The sequence below is a fragment of the Homo sapiens genome, chromosome 8 (genome assembly GCF_000001405.40).
Source record: "Homo sapiens chromosome 8, GRCh38.p14 Primary Assembly".
Classification (NCBI taxonomy): Eukaryota; Metazoa; Chordata; class Mammalia; order Primates; family Hominidae; genus Homo; species Homo sapiens.
The window spans coordinates 30,902,174-30,916,128 of record NC_000008.11 but is presented as its reverse complement, the minus strand read 5'-3'; the positions used below and the strand labels follow the sequence as shown (position 1 = coordinate 30,916,128).

General features: G+C 40.7%; 1 protein-coding gene across 1 annotated transcript in view, besides 4 other annotated features; it reads left to right on the top strand.

The window, feature by feature from the left end:
- Positions 2,811–4,297: a transcriptional cis regulatory region, noted in NCBI's record as "candidate enhancer chr8.1136 targeted for multiplex CRISPR interference". NCBI's record gives its function as "positively regulates TEX15 gene expression with high confidence in K562 cells {active_cell/tissue: K562}" and the evidence as "EXISTENCE:mutant phenotype evidence [ECO:0000015][PMID:30612741]".
- TEX15 (testis expressed 15, meiosis and synapsis associated) overlaps positions 3,121–13,955 on the top strand; it is an 81,465-nt gene continuing 70,630 nt past the window's right edge. The window contains exon 1 of the mRNA NM_001350162.2: positions 3,121–3,250. The gene's annotated coding sequence lies outside the window, so the exon portion shown is untranslated. The remainder of the gene's footprint in view (positions 3,251–13,955) is intronic.
- Positions 3,924–3,973: a silencer, noted in NCBI's record as "silent region_19090". NCBI's record gives its function as "represses an Ori minimal core promoter by ATAC-STARR-seq in GM12878 lymphoblastoid cells {active_cell/tissue: GM12878}" and the evidence as "EXISTENCE:reporter gene assay evidence [ECO:0000049][PMID:35858748]".
- Positions 3,994–4,163: a silencer, noted in NCBI's record as "silent region_19089". NCBI's record gives its function as "represses an Ori minimal core promoter by ATAC-STARR-seq in GM12878 lymphoblastoid cells {active_cell/tissue: GM12878}" and the evidence as "EXISTENCE:reporter gene assay evidence [ECO:0000049][PMID:35858748]".
- Positions 10,305–10,536: a silencer, noted in NCBI's record as "fragment chr8:30763109-30763340 (GRCh37/hg19 assembly coordinates)". NCBI's record gives its function as "represses an EF-1alpha promoter that drives an FKBP-Casp9 reporter gene in an ReSE screen in K562 erythroleukemia cells {active_cell/tissue: K562}" and the evidence as "EXISTENCE:reporter gene assay evidence [ECO:0000049][PMID:32094911]".

The window sequence follows — 13,955 nt, the reverse complement described above, 5'->3', positions numbered from 1 at the left end:
AATGTTTTGTTTTTTAAGAAATGAAAAAGAAAATAAAACATAAACTGGCCAATCAATTCTAGAAAAGAATGCAATGAAACCCCATCTCTACTAAAAAAATATATAAAAATTAGCTGGGTGTGGTGGCACATGCTTGTAATCCCAGCTACTTGGGAGGCTGAGGCAGAGAATCGCTTGAACCAGGAGGCAGAGGTTGCAGTGAGCCAATATTGCACCATTGCACTCCAACCCAGGCGACAGGGCAAAACTCCGTCTCAAAAAGAAAAAAGTAAAGAATGCAAAAGAAGATGAACATTAGCCAATCAATTCAAGACAGTAATATAAGAATAAAGTAAATCTAAGAAAATGATAAGGGATAAAAAGTAATGTTTTAGAAAATAAATTGCAGATTATTATAGTTTTTGTTTCTTTTGGAATTTTAAAAAGAAAAGGATGGAGATAAAGGAAATAGGAGTAAACTGAAGTTGTAGATTTGGTATAGTTTTATAGTGTTGTTCACAAGATACCTCTTTTTTTCAATTTTCTTGTGGCACTCGACCTTGATCCTTTTTTATTTATTTTTGAGAGTAACATCTAGTTTTCCCCTGCTGGTTATAAAGAAACACATGTTCATTGTAGATAATTTGGAAATTACAGAAAAGCATAAAGAAAAAATAAAAATTACCTAAAATCCTATAACACACTGATGACAATTTTCTCTAAAAGATAAGCACTATCCTGATTTTCATGAAAATCACTTCCTTGCTTTTCTCTATCCTTTAGACACATAAGTATGCATACTTACATACCAGTTTGGTTTTGTCTATTTTTAAACTATACAATTGGCAACTCACAATGTACATTCTCTTCTGTCTGACTTCTTTCCCTCAATATTGCTTAGGCAATCCATGCATGTTGTTGCATGTAAATGTAGTTTATTCTGTTTTCATTGCTGTTAAATATTCCAATGAATGAATATGCCGCAATTTTAATTCAGGATATTCCAGTTGTTCCTAGTATTCTGCTATTATGAACGGTATTGCTATGAAATTTTTATACATGTCCCTTGGGTGTAAACTCCTAGGAGTACAATTGCTGGGTACCCTAATTCTTAAGTTGAAAAAGACAGATAATGGTCATGAAGAAGAAAATGAAAAATATATAAATTTTGAACTTTCAATTTATTGTCAAAAATAGATTTTTTTAATTTTTTATTTTTAGACGAAGTCTCAGGCTGGAGTGCCGTGGTTTCACTGCAACCTCCGCCTCCCAGATTCAAGCGATTCTCCTGCCTCAGCCTCCCGAGTAGCTGGGATTACAGACGCATGCCACCACACTCAGCTAATTTTTGTATTTTTAGTAGAGACGGGGTTTCACCATGTTGGCCAGGCTGGTCTCAAACTCCTGACCTCAAGTGATCCACCTGCTTCGCTCTCCCAAAGTGTTGGGATTACAGGGCGTCAGCCACCTTGCCCAACCAAAATAGGTTATTAAGAGGAATAATAAAATTTTATTTCACACGCAGTAAAACTGAAACTTAAAATAAGTTTTTAAAATACCATTGGTTTATAGGAGCATAAACAGAAAACAGAAATTCCGACTGTGTTTTGGTGGGGTAGTGTCATTGACATTAGAATTTGATGATAGTTAAAGAACGTCTTTCCACTAAATTGAACTTATAGTGAAAGAAACATTTTAGGCCGGGCGCAGTGGCTCACGCCTGTAATCCCAGCACTTTGGCAGGCCGAGGCGAGCGGATCACGAGGTCAGGAGATCGAGACTCATCCTGGCCAACATGGTAAAACCCCGTCTCTACTAAAAATACAAAAATTAGCTGGGCATGGCGGCGCCTGGCTGTAATCCTAGCTACTCAGGAGGCTGAGGCAGGAAAATCGCTTGAAGCTGGGAGGCGGAAGTTGCAGTGAGCCGAGATCGCGCCAATGCACTCCAGCCTGGCAACAGAGCTAGATTCCGTAAAAAAAAAAAAAAAAAAAAAATTAATTCTCAGATTTACGGTATTCACAGATCCCTGAAGCTCCTCTTTCAATCCAGTTGTAAAATACACTTAAAACTTGCCTTACAGAAAGTGATTATTGGAAAATGGAATAGTGCATCTTTGTGTGTGTGTGTGTGTGTGTGTGTGTGTGAGAGAGAGAGACAGACAGACAGACAGACAGACAGACAGAATCTCACTCCTTTGCCCAGGCTGGAGTGCAGTGGCGTGAGCTTGGCTCACTGCAACCTCCGCCTCCCGGATTCAAGCAATTCTCCCGCCTCAGCCTTTCAAGTAGCTGGGACTACAGGCGCACGCCACCACGCCTGGCTAATTTTTGCATTTTTTAGTAGAGACTGGGATTCGCCATGTTGGCCAGGCTGGTCTGGAACACCTCAGGTGATCCGCCCGTCTCGGCCTTTCAGAGTGCTGGGATTACAGGCATGAGCCACCGCGCCCGGCCGAATACTGCATCTTTTAAGCTGCCTGTCTTCAGCGTCTTCGCCCCTAAAGGATTCACCCACTGAAGGATGAAGTGACTCTCAGGCCTGCAATTGTAAAACTAAATCTGAGTGACTGGACTGGAAGACTTCGATTCTGTAATCTATATAGCCTCTGAATCAGGCTTTCATAAGCCGCGCTATGAAGTAGAATTAATTTTCTGAGTGCAAGGATTTTTTTTGTTTTTGGCAGAGGAGGTCTCACTATGTTGCCCAGGCTGGTCTCAAACTCCTGAACGCACCTTGGTCTCCCAAAGTGCTGAGATCACCGACCACCGCACCCGACAGAATGAGTCTGGTAAAAATCTTCATGCTTTAGATCCCTGAAACTTGGATGTACTTGTTAGCTCCAAGCTGAAGCCTTAGCTAAGGGATTTGGCCATTAGCTGAGCAACATAAAGTCCTCCCCGATCTTCTAACTCCTTTTGAATTAAATTAGAAAGCCATGACAAAACGATCGTTTTGTTGAAGGCCCACTCCGTGTACACGGAGTAGGCACTGAACACACAGTTTGCTTCAGGACATGGAAAGTCTCTCAGGAGTCCGTTCCTGCGCGGGCCCCACCTACGGGCTTCGAGCTTCCACGTGCAGGGCCTCTGGCTCCGCCCCCGGCGCAGTGCGCAAGCGCCGCTGCTTTCCGAGCTGCCTGCTCACTGTGCGCACCTCGCTGGGGGGTGCTGCTGTGTTCCTGAGGCTTCCAGGGAAGGCAGTGGGCGAAGGTCTGTACCGTGCTAAGATTGAGTCTGAGGAACTGACTGAGCAAAGAAGACAGCTCAAGGTTTGTGGGGAATGTGGCAGATGAGGAGAGGAGGGTTAGCAGCTAGTTTGGTGTGAGGTAAATTAAAATTAAGGAGTGAAGAATGTTAATTATGGGGAGTCTCAGACGCTACTCTTCTGGCTCGGAGCTTCCCGATTAAATTTATTTTTAAAAATAATAAATTTTTTAAAAATGTTAATTATCATTGATTCAGGGACTCTGGGGCCAAAGGTGGGCCTCCGAGGGCCAGGGCAGCCGACTCTACAGGTGAAATGTTTAGCTTTCCTCAGATGCGCGGGTTCCCGCGCTTTCGCTCTCCCTCTGCCCCCGCTGAGCCCCACGGAGCTGGCCCTGCGTCCTTGTTTGCAGCTGAGGAGAAACTCGCTGCTCTGAGGCAGCGAGAGGAGAGAGCGCCACAACTTGGTGGTGGCCTCCGCCTCGCCCTGGCTCCCTGGAGGCGCAGTTTGTAGTCAGCAGAAGGCAGCGCGGAGCAGCCGCGTTGCGCAGGGCGCGTGGGGATCTTCGTGGTGCGTGGGGATATCCGCGGGGGCGGGGAGGGGGCGGGAGCCCCGCCGCCCCGGGACCGCAACTCGGGACTCCTGTGGGACTCGCGACCCTGGAGCGCTAGGGCGGGGAACGCCGCCCGGGTGACTGGCAGTCCGCGCGCCTCATTCTCCCCTGCAGAGCCCGCGCTCGGACCATGCCCGCCTGCGCCGGCTGTCTCGCTGCAGGAGCCGGTGGACGCGGGGGAGCCTCGGTAGGTGAGGGCGGCGCGGGGGTAGCTGGGCTCCGACGCGGGCGCCTGAGGGGAGCGTCCCCCGACTGCAGGAGGACTGGCGCGCCCGGGATGCGGTGCCGCGTGTCCCGGCGCTGTGGCTGTTGTAAGGCTGAGTGGAGGTTTTGCAGGGCTGCTTCGCCCTGGTGGCTCTTGGCTTCCTGGCTCGGCTCAGTGAAGGGAGTGAAACCCCTCGGGTCCCGGCGTGGTGCGGGTGCAGGAAGAGACTCCTGCCTCAGTTTCGTGTGAGCCGCGTCCCAAGCCCAGCCCTGCACAGATCCTTTCAGGCAGTTTCCATCCTCTCCGCGCTCGGGGTTGAGTTTCCGCGTTTGGAATGCTCGGTTTGAGGCGCATGGCCACCGCGCTGGCTGTGTCGGGAGACAGTGCCCAGGGATGATGTTCGAGAAAGTGGAGAGGCTGAGGTCGCTGGCAACTCGGAGACTTTGAAGATACCACGGTTCCCTTCAAGTTTAAAAATGGTGAGCTCTAAGTGCAGTGTGAAGCACCCCAACGCCCTAAGTGCACTGATTGCTTTTGGGGGTGATGGGTGAATATGGGGCTGTTTCAAAGTATGAAGTAGAAGTGATACCATTATTCGCTTTTTTTATTTTTGAATTTCCTTTTTGACGACTATGTGTGTTGGTGGAGAAGGAAGAGAAGTGATACAAGCTTTGGCGAGCGCTGTGGCTCAACGCCTGTAGTCCTAGCATTTTGGGAGGCCAAGGCGGGCGGATCGCATGAGCCCAGGAGTTCGAAACCAGCCTGGGCAACATGGGGAAATCCCGTCTCTACAAAAAATAATAATAATAGTAGTAGTAATAATACAAAAAATACGAAAATTAGCTGATGTGTTGCCACGCGCCTGTAATCTCAACTATTCGGGAGGCTGAGGCAGGAGAATCGCTTGAGTCTGGGAGTTTGAGGCTGCAGTGAGCTGAGATTGCACCACTGCACTCCAGCCCGGGCGACAGAGCGAGACTCTGTCTCAAAAAAATAAAAATAAAGTGGTACAAGCTTTAATTAAAATGTCGTTGAGTTCACATTGAGAAAATGGTTAAATTTATTGAATATTTTTAAAAGATTTTAAGGTTCATCCAAAATATATCATCGCTGCTTGAAAGGGAGAGTTCGTTTTAACAGTTGAAGTTAAGGGAACTGGAGGAGTGAAATCAGTATTTAGAGATACGTTTAATGCTTTGTTATTGCCCACTTTCTTAAAGGCCTTTAATTAAAAAACAAAACATAGATCTTTCTTTACCTTATTGCAAAGATATTTTAAAATCTGAACCCTACCTAATCATAAAGATGTCAAAATTTGAGGGAGAGTGCTTAAGCATCAAAACCCATGTATGTTTTCTTTTTTAAATAAATTATTTGGATGAGTGCCAAATAATGCCATGTAATCCTAGGACTTTGGGAGGCCAAGGTGGGAGATTGCTTGAGGCCAGGAGTTCAAGACCAGCCTGGGGCAACATAGTCCCCGTCTCTACCAAAAAAAAAAAAAAAAAAAAAAAGGCCAGGCGTGGTGGTGCAAGCCTTTGGTCCCCAGCTATTTGGGATGCTAAAATGGGAAGATTGCTTGAGCCCGGGTGGTCAAGGCTGCAGGAAACCGTGATCACATCATTGCAGTCCTGGGCAACAGAGTCAGACTCTATGAATTCTGTAAAAGAATTCATGGAACTAGGCAAACATAAGAAATTACCCGTAGGAGTCTTATTGGCCAGTGGGAAGAAAGCATAAGAACTTCCACTGGCACTTTTTGAAATTTTAATCCTAGCAGCTAGTGATAATTTCCGCTTTAGTATATGGCTTTAGTATGTTAAAAAATGTTTTACAAAATCAGTGAAGTATAATTATATTGCTTTTACTCAATTTCAGGAGATCCGAAGGTCACTTTTTCTCCCAGCACACCTACTAGTGTACTTGAGCACTTTAAAGTTTTTTTTTTTTTATTGTACCGAAGGATGATATACTGTACTGGATTACAAAATTTCTTCAAGTTAGAGAAAACAATCATGATTTTCACAGTACCCAAAAATTTTGGAAAATTGGCAGTTTTAATTTTTGGTAAATGTACTGCTTTGGTCTGCTTTTGCTATGTTCCTATTTCTCATTTATTTCAAAATAGCTTGGCTTCATGAAGGATGATAGAGGGGATTTGAAGTGCCTACATGTTATCCTGTTAGGTCTAATGGAATCTCATTAAATCTCCAGCCCCTGAATGTGTTGCACAGTTGGGATTAGTTTTCCTCTGAATCTATTAAATGTGATATCAAAGGTGAAAAATAACCTCATCTTCTTTCCGTTTATATTTTGTTACTTATCTTTATCAAAGAGGAACTAATTTTTTTGTTCAATTAAGCATGTTTAAAATTGATGTTCTGTGGTGATTTACTCTTGCTTTGTAATAATACTTCCAAGCTTTATAAAGTTAGTCAAGTAGTAGGGCAAGATGATCAGAAATTAACTTTTCAGAAATAGCTCTATTTCACAAAGGGAGGTAAACTCACATGACAAACTAAGCAAAGTTCAGAAAATTTAAAACTTGTATGTAAATTTGATGATTGCTTTAATGAACTACTTTGCTTATTAGGATAGTCCCCGAAGTCTGGTAGCAATCCTATATCCTTGGAATGTGCAATCCACATAATGCAAAGCCTTTGTGATTGCTGCCCTTTGAAAATAATGATAGCTAGCTGCTCCTGAGGGGGGAGTGGGGGCGGGGGGGGGTCTGTCTTTAATTACAGCAGCTGAGACTTTGGCACAGATGCAGTTTCTGCTTTCACCAATGTGACTGAATACATGTGGACAATTAAATCCTTATCCAAACCCAGTTTTGCATAGCTCTGTTCGTGCCTATTAGACCCTAGGTATACAAAACATATTTTGATTTTTAAGGTTTATCTGAGGTTTAATTAAGCTACTGTAACTAAATTTGAAGATTTTTTAGGATAATGATTAATAAAATAACTGATTTGAGTATCTAGTTTGTCCTGATATAAATCTAAAACTACACACAATCACTGTTAATATGCCTCAAGGGGGGAAACTTTGCCAATAAAGATAAAACTTCATTTCTTTTATGTGTTTAAAAGTAAGCTTGTGAGCTCTGGTACATTTACACGTTGCACAGCAAGACTTTAAGGGTGTGTGTGAGAAAGAATATGAATGCGGAAATGGCATTTTTATATTAAAACAGCAGGAACCATTGTAATCTAGTATTCTAGAGGGTTCTTAGGATACATGGACTTGTGTGATTACTTGAAGCCCCTAACTGTATGCAAAAATGTGTGGATTGTGTTAATTTTTGTTGAAGAAAAGATCTATGACTTCATCAGATTCTTTAAAGCATGTGAGACACCCCTCTTATCAAAAACAAAGTTAGCAGTAATATCGAGAGATGAACACATTTCAGTTTTATGAACTGAAGTAGCTAAATAGTGAAAGAGCTAGGATTCAAACATAGGTTTTTAACTGCCAATCCTTTGCTTCTTCTGTTAGTCCACAATTATTGTACCTTGTAACCTCTTTTCCGGATGGGGCAGTGTTCTCCACTCTGTGGCTTACAGTAAAGCTTTGTTTAGAGAGAGACTTCAAGCTCATGTAAGCATTTAATGTAGGATCTTAGCAAGAACTATGAGCAAAAAAAATGAATTGTATGTAAAGGAGATATATAGGCAAATATTTTCTCGATATACATAGATGAAAACATTACTATAAATTTTGTGCCATTAATATAATAGAGCAAGTCAAAAGGGAGAAAGCATGCCAGCACAGTGGCTCACACCTGTAATCCTAGTAATTTGGGATGCCGAGGCAGGAGGATCGCTTGAGTCCAGAAGTCGGAGACCACCCTTGGCAATATAGCAATGCCCTGCCTCTACAAAAAATTAAAAAATAGGGTCAGGCACAGTGGCTCATGCCTGCAATTCCAGCACCTTAGAAGGCTGAGGTGGGAGGATCACTGGGACTCAGGAATTCAAGACCAGCCTGGGCAACGTAGTGAGACCCCATCTCTACAAAAAATTTAAGTATTAATGTGATGCGGTGGCACATGCGTATAGTCCCAGCTCCTGGGTAGAGGGGGTAGGTTGCTGAGGTGGGAGGATCACTTGAGCCTGAGAGGTCAAGGCTGCAGTGAGCCATCACTGTGCCTCTGCATCAGCCTGGGCGATGAATTCTTTTATAGAATTCATAGAGTCTGACTCTGTTGCCCAGGAGTGCAGTGATGTGATCACGGTTTCCTGCAGCCTTGATCACCTGGGCTCAAGCAGTCTTCCCATTTCAGCCTCCCAAATAGCTGGGGACTAAAGGCTTGTGCCACCATGCCTGGCTTTTTTTTTTTTTTTTGGTGTAATTATATATAAATTAGATATAAAATTTTATATCTAATTTATATATAAATTTTATATCTAATTTATATGTATTTTATATATAAAATTTTATATATAATTTATATATAAATTATATATAATATATAAATTAGATATAAAATTTATATATAAATTATATGTAATTATATAATTAAATATAATGTATATTAATTTATATATAATAAATTATATATAAATTTTGTATATACATTTTATATATAATTTGTATATACATTTTGTATATAATTTATATATACATTTTATATATAATTTATATATACATTTTGTATATAATTTATATATACATTGTATATATAAATTAGCCAGGCATCCTGGCATGCGCCTGTAGTCCTAGATACTCAAGAGGCTGAGGTGGAAAGATTGCTTGAGCCCAGGAGTTCAAGCGTGCAGAAAACTGTACGCAAATTTTGAATATTATCCAGTCACCAGGAGAAATAAACTGGAGTACTGATCACAGCATTCTAGGCAGAGAAATGAACTTGACTCTTGTGATGCTGTCAGGCACACAATGAGCCATGATTGCACCACTGCACTCCACCCTCCAGCCTTGGCAACACAGCAAGATCTTGTCTCTAAATAAGGAAAAAGCTTTTATTAAATCAACAACAAATTCTTCAGTGGTATAATTACATAGGGCAATGGTGGTTAGGAAAGTCTATAAACTCTTTGAGTTTAGAATGGTATTCTTACGAAGATTTATACAACCTTTACATCTGTATGGTATGTTTTATATAAAGTCACATTTGGCCAAGGAGTAAGAATCAGCTTAAGTGAACAGCAAAAGAAAAAAAAATTGTTTTAAGTTCCTCAAATCCATTTTTCTCTCTAGAAAATGCAATTTTTTGTGTCTTTCAAGCCCATGCTAATCAATTAAACCTAGTGTCTTTCTGTGCCTTGGTTTTTTCATATGTAAAATGGAAAATTTTCATACGTAAAATGGGAAAATCTGCTTATAAATTATTTTGGTTGACTGTCTTCTGCAATATTGTCTTTTTCATGGGTCTTTCAAGCCTATTCCCAGCAGTTAAACCTAGTGTTTTAGTTTTTCCTAAGGTATTACATGCCTGCTTATCCAAGGTACAAATACAAGCACTTTAATATATGCTTGTTCTCTCTCTCTTTTTTTTTTTTTTTTTCTTTTGAGATGGAGTCTTGCTCTGTCACCCAGGCTGGAGTGCAGTGGCACAATCTCGGCTCACCACAAGCTCCGCCTCCCGGGTTCACATCACTCTCCTGCCTCAGCCTCCTGAGTAGCTGGGATTACAGGTGCCTGCCACCACACCAGGCTAATTTTTTTTTTTGTATTTTTAGTAGAGATGGGGTTTCACCATGTTAGCCAAGATGGTCTTGATCTCCTGACCTCATGATCCTCCCACTTCAGCCTTCCAAAGTGCTGGGATTACAGGCGTGAGCCACTGCGCCCAGCTGCTTGTTCTCTTTTAAGGCTAAAACAGAAACAAAGACTTCCCAGGTCAATAAATAATATAACTATTTGAAGAAGAATGGAGGAATGTTAGATGATTAACATTAAACTGTGAGGATTAAAATATTATGCCTCTTTATTTGATTAAACATACATTAATAATAATAGCCAATACTTATATAGCGCTTTACCATAAATGAGTCACTGTTCTGTGTGTTGTAGTAATCAATATAGCAGAAGAGTGTTGATTAACTGAATTAATCTACTAAATACTGTTATTTTTTTCCCATTTTACGTATGAAGAAACTGAGGCACAAAAGTATAGGTAATGGGTCTAGCGTTGCAGTCAGTAAGGGGCAGATAAAATTTGGGTTTTGGGGGTTTTCTTGTTTGTTTTGTTTTTTGAGACAGGGTGTCACTCTCACCCAGGCTGGAGTGCAGTGGCATGATCACAAGGCTCATTGCAACAGCCACCTTCTGAGCTCAAGCAATCCTCCCACCTCAGCATCCCGAGCAGCTGGGAATACAGGTGTGCCACCATGCCCAGCCTTTTTTTTTTTTTTTTTTTTTTTTGTATTTTTTGTAAAGACAGGTTTTCGCCATGTTGCCCAGGCTGGTCTTGAACTCCTGAGCTCAAGTGATCCACCGGCCTCAGCCTCCCAAAATGCTGGGATTATAGGCGTGAGCCACAGACCAGGTGGTCTGGCTTCACCAAACTGCCACCAAAAATATTATCTCTTATCCATGGCGTGAATAAGTCAAATAATTTTCTCTTAAAAATAATCTATCTGAATTATGCTAAATTTTTTAGAGGAAAATTTTTTGCTTGGTACAAATTTGCAGTCTGAAAATTACTCTATTTTGGTGATCTGGTATTTAATATGACAATTCAAAAGTAGGACTAAAATTTTTAGTCTGACAAAGGAATAGCAGCATCCCAAGAGTTCATTCTCTGCCTAGAATGCTATGACCAGTACTCCAGTTTATTTCTCCTGGGGACTCAATAATATTCAACTTTTGCCTACAGTTTTTTTTTTTTTTTTGAAGTCTTTTTAAGTCTTCAGTTGGTCTATTTGGTATAATTCCCACCAGGTTTGTTGCAGTACTTTGACATTGCACGATCAAACAGTTTCTGAAGAATTTTTGAGAAGCCTGTTTGTTACTAAAGTCAGGTAGAATCTTAAAATGAATGTTAGAAGTAGACAAGTTATATTAAAATTCATTCTTGATAGGGACATTAGTAAGAAGGCACATGAATTGCTAGTTGTTAGCTTTGTTACCCCCACATTTAATGTAAGTACCTAAAGAAAATGTGTAAGTGAACTCTTTCATGAGAAAGATGTATAATTAGATACATTTAGAAATTTATAATTGTGTATTAGTGTTTTTCTGGGCATAACTCCATTACAGTATTAGATAACTTGTTTTAACCTTATCAAGTAATACATTTTTTTAATTTTAGGTTCAGCAGATCATAAAAGGTGAATAATGGTCAGCAGCTATGTTTTTCATACTAAAATGTGGAAAATAAAGCTGTTGACTTCTTTGAATTAACACAGAAAGATAGTTTAATGTTTTAAAATGGGAGGAATATTTTATATGCAAGATGACGTCATGCACACCTCATTGACATTGAAAGAGAAGCTGAGGAATACTTGTGGTTTTTAACCGGAAAACAACTCACAGGGGGAGGAAAAGTTGATTCAGTATTGGTCAATCCTAGTTAGAAATTTATGAATTTCTAGTTAAAAATGTATTACCTATATAGCTATTTTCCTACATTAATCAAAATGAATTGTGTGAATATTTAGTTATGACCAATTTCAGGGTTTAAATAAGGTCCTTTTTTTTTTTTTTTTTTGAGACGGAGTCTCACTCTGTCACCAAGGCTGGAGTGAAGTGGCACCATGTTGGCTCACTGCAACCTCCATCTCCTGGATTCAAGCAATTCTCCTGCCTCAGCTTCCTAAGTAGCTGGGATTACAGGCGCCCACCACCACACCCGGCTAGTTTTTATATTTTTGGTAGAGATGGGGTTTCCCCGTGTTGGCCAGGCTGGTCTCAAACTCCTGACCTCAGTTGATCCACCCACCTGAGCCTCCCAAAGTGGTGGGATTACAGGCGTGAGCCACTGAGCCCAGCCTAAATAAGGTCGTTTTATTATTATTTCCTTTCCAAGACTTGTAGTTATTAATTCCCTTGAAAGTTGTGTCATTATCTTTAATCATCTGATTATTTCTTTGTATTTCCCTAATGTCTTTTAAAAAGCCTCATAACCATAATAGATTAGTAACTAATCCCTGTGCTTTTATGACAATTCCCAACTTCTTTTGCATATAATTTCCATCTGTTTGAGCAGAGAATACACTCAGTTTGGGGTTGTACATGATTGATCTGTCCTCATCTTTCACAACCTATTAGCACAGTCATCTTCCATATTTCATACCCTTCTAACACCATATCTGATTTCAAGGACCTTGGCAAGGTAATTATCTCTCTGTTTATATCTGCATAGGGAAGACAAGTGGCTTTAAGCAGGCAAAGTGGTGACTTTTTTGCCATTCTCAGTTTTTCGCTATCAGTAACACAGAGGATGGCATTTGTTATATTTAATGCTTGGGCTGAAAAAAGAATGCTGATTTGTAGAAGGATAGGTAATCCAGGTAATCTTCCTGGTGGAATAAGATGCAAGTTATCCTGTGCTAGCTTACTTTATGGTAGAGTGGGTCTATTTCAGTCAAGCCAGTCAGAATATGTCCTTTTTGAGAAAGCTGAAGGAAGGACTAGGACTGAAGGATTGAGTGAAAAGTTGAGCTGTTTCTCACCTTTCTCTGCAACCAGGATGACCTTGGCCTTTTTGTGGAACTCAATCTGTTTGTACTGCAGCTCCTAGACTCCAAAGGGAAAGAAACCAAGGGAGTCCTAACCCCTGGGGGCCCCTTAACTTTGATTTTTCCCCGTGATGAAAAGCAGCTGGACTGGAAGTACTCCTCCCCATAGCCTGGGCTCTTGGGACAGTCTTTTAAACATGTAAATTATTTTTAAGTCTGCTCTCATTTGACTATATAATTAGATAGATACAGGATCCTCCTTGGACCTAGAGGAGAGCCTGCCCCAAATTTTTAGAGAAATACATCCATACAGCATAGGTCATTAAAACAAGATTATAATTTGAGTCATCACAAAATCATGGAAATCTTTGAGTGCCAGTTTTGGCTTCTAGTTTGGGAAACCCTTCATAATGGAGGTTGGTTGATTCAACATAGACTATGTAATATGCATTATCAAAATAAAATAGTTTAACCACATAGTTTAAAAGCATAATCCCTCTCTTGCCTTTTCCCTGAGGGGCAACAGACAAAGTCTGTGCAATAAATATGAACACCTTGAGAAATGTACTGGTAATCCTCAGACATTTCCTTCCTGGAATACTTAAATTCTACTGTGCTTCATCACCTAGATTGGTGGTTCTCAAACTGTCGTTTCTCTTCACTATCAATGTCACCTGGGAATTTATGAGAAATAAAAATTCTTGGGCCTTAAACATACAGAATTAGAAACTCTGGAGGTGGGACCCAGTAATCTGTATTTTAATAAGCCCTCTAGGTGATTCTGATACACACTGAAGTTGGAGAATCACCAATCCCTTTGATCATCAAGGATGAACCATAGTTTTTTGCTTTGCTGGTCTGTTACTTCACTATAAATATTTTATTGCCCATGTGGATATTACTGCATGTGTATACCAGGAATTGGCAACCTGTGTTAGTACTACATTGAATGATACCCAAGTTAAAATTGTTAGTGACCTTCACAGTTCTTTTCTACTTCCTTGTCTTCCTTCTTGCAGAGTGCCTGAAACAAGGTAGCCACTGGATAATTTGTTAATTGAATGCCTATCTTCCCCCCTTCCTGCCCTCCCCCTGCAAAAAGCAAAATCACGTTTTCATTTATCTTTTGGTTTCTTCCTCTGCAGGAGCTTTAAGCCTGAAAGTGAAGTTCCCAGTTGCAAGTATTTCTTTTTCCTAATAGTGACTCTGGCTAAAAGAGATTCCTGATACATTAAGGAAAAAAAAAAAAAAAGGAGGAAAAGGAAAAAATAGTTCTTATATACCTGATTAGATGCCTTCCTCA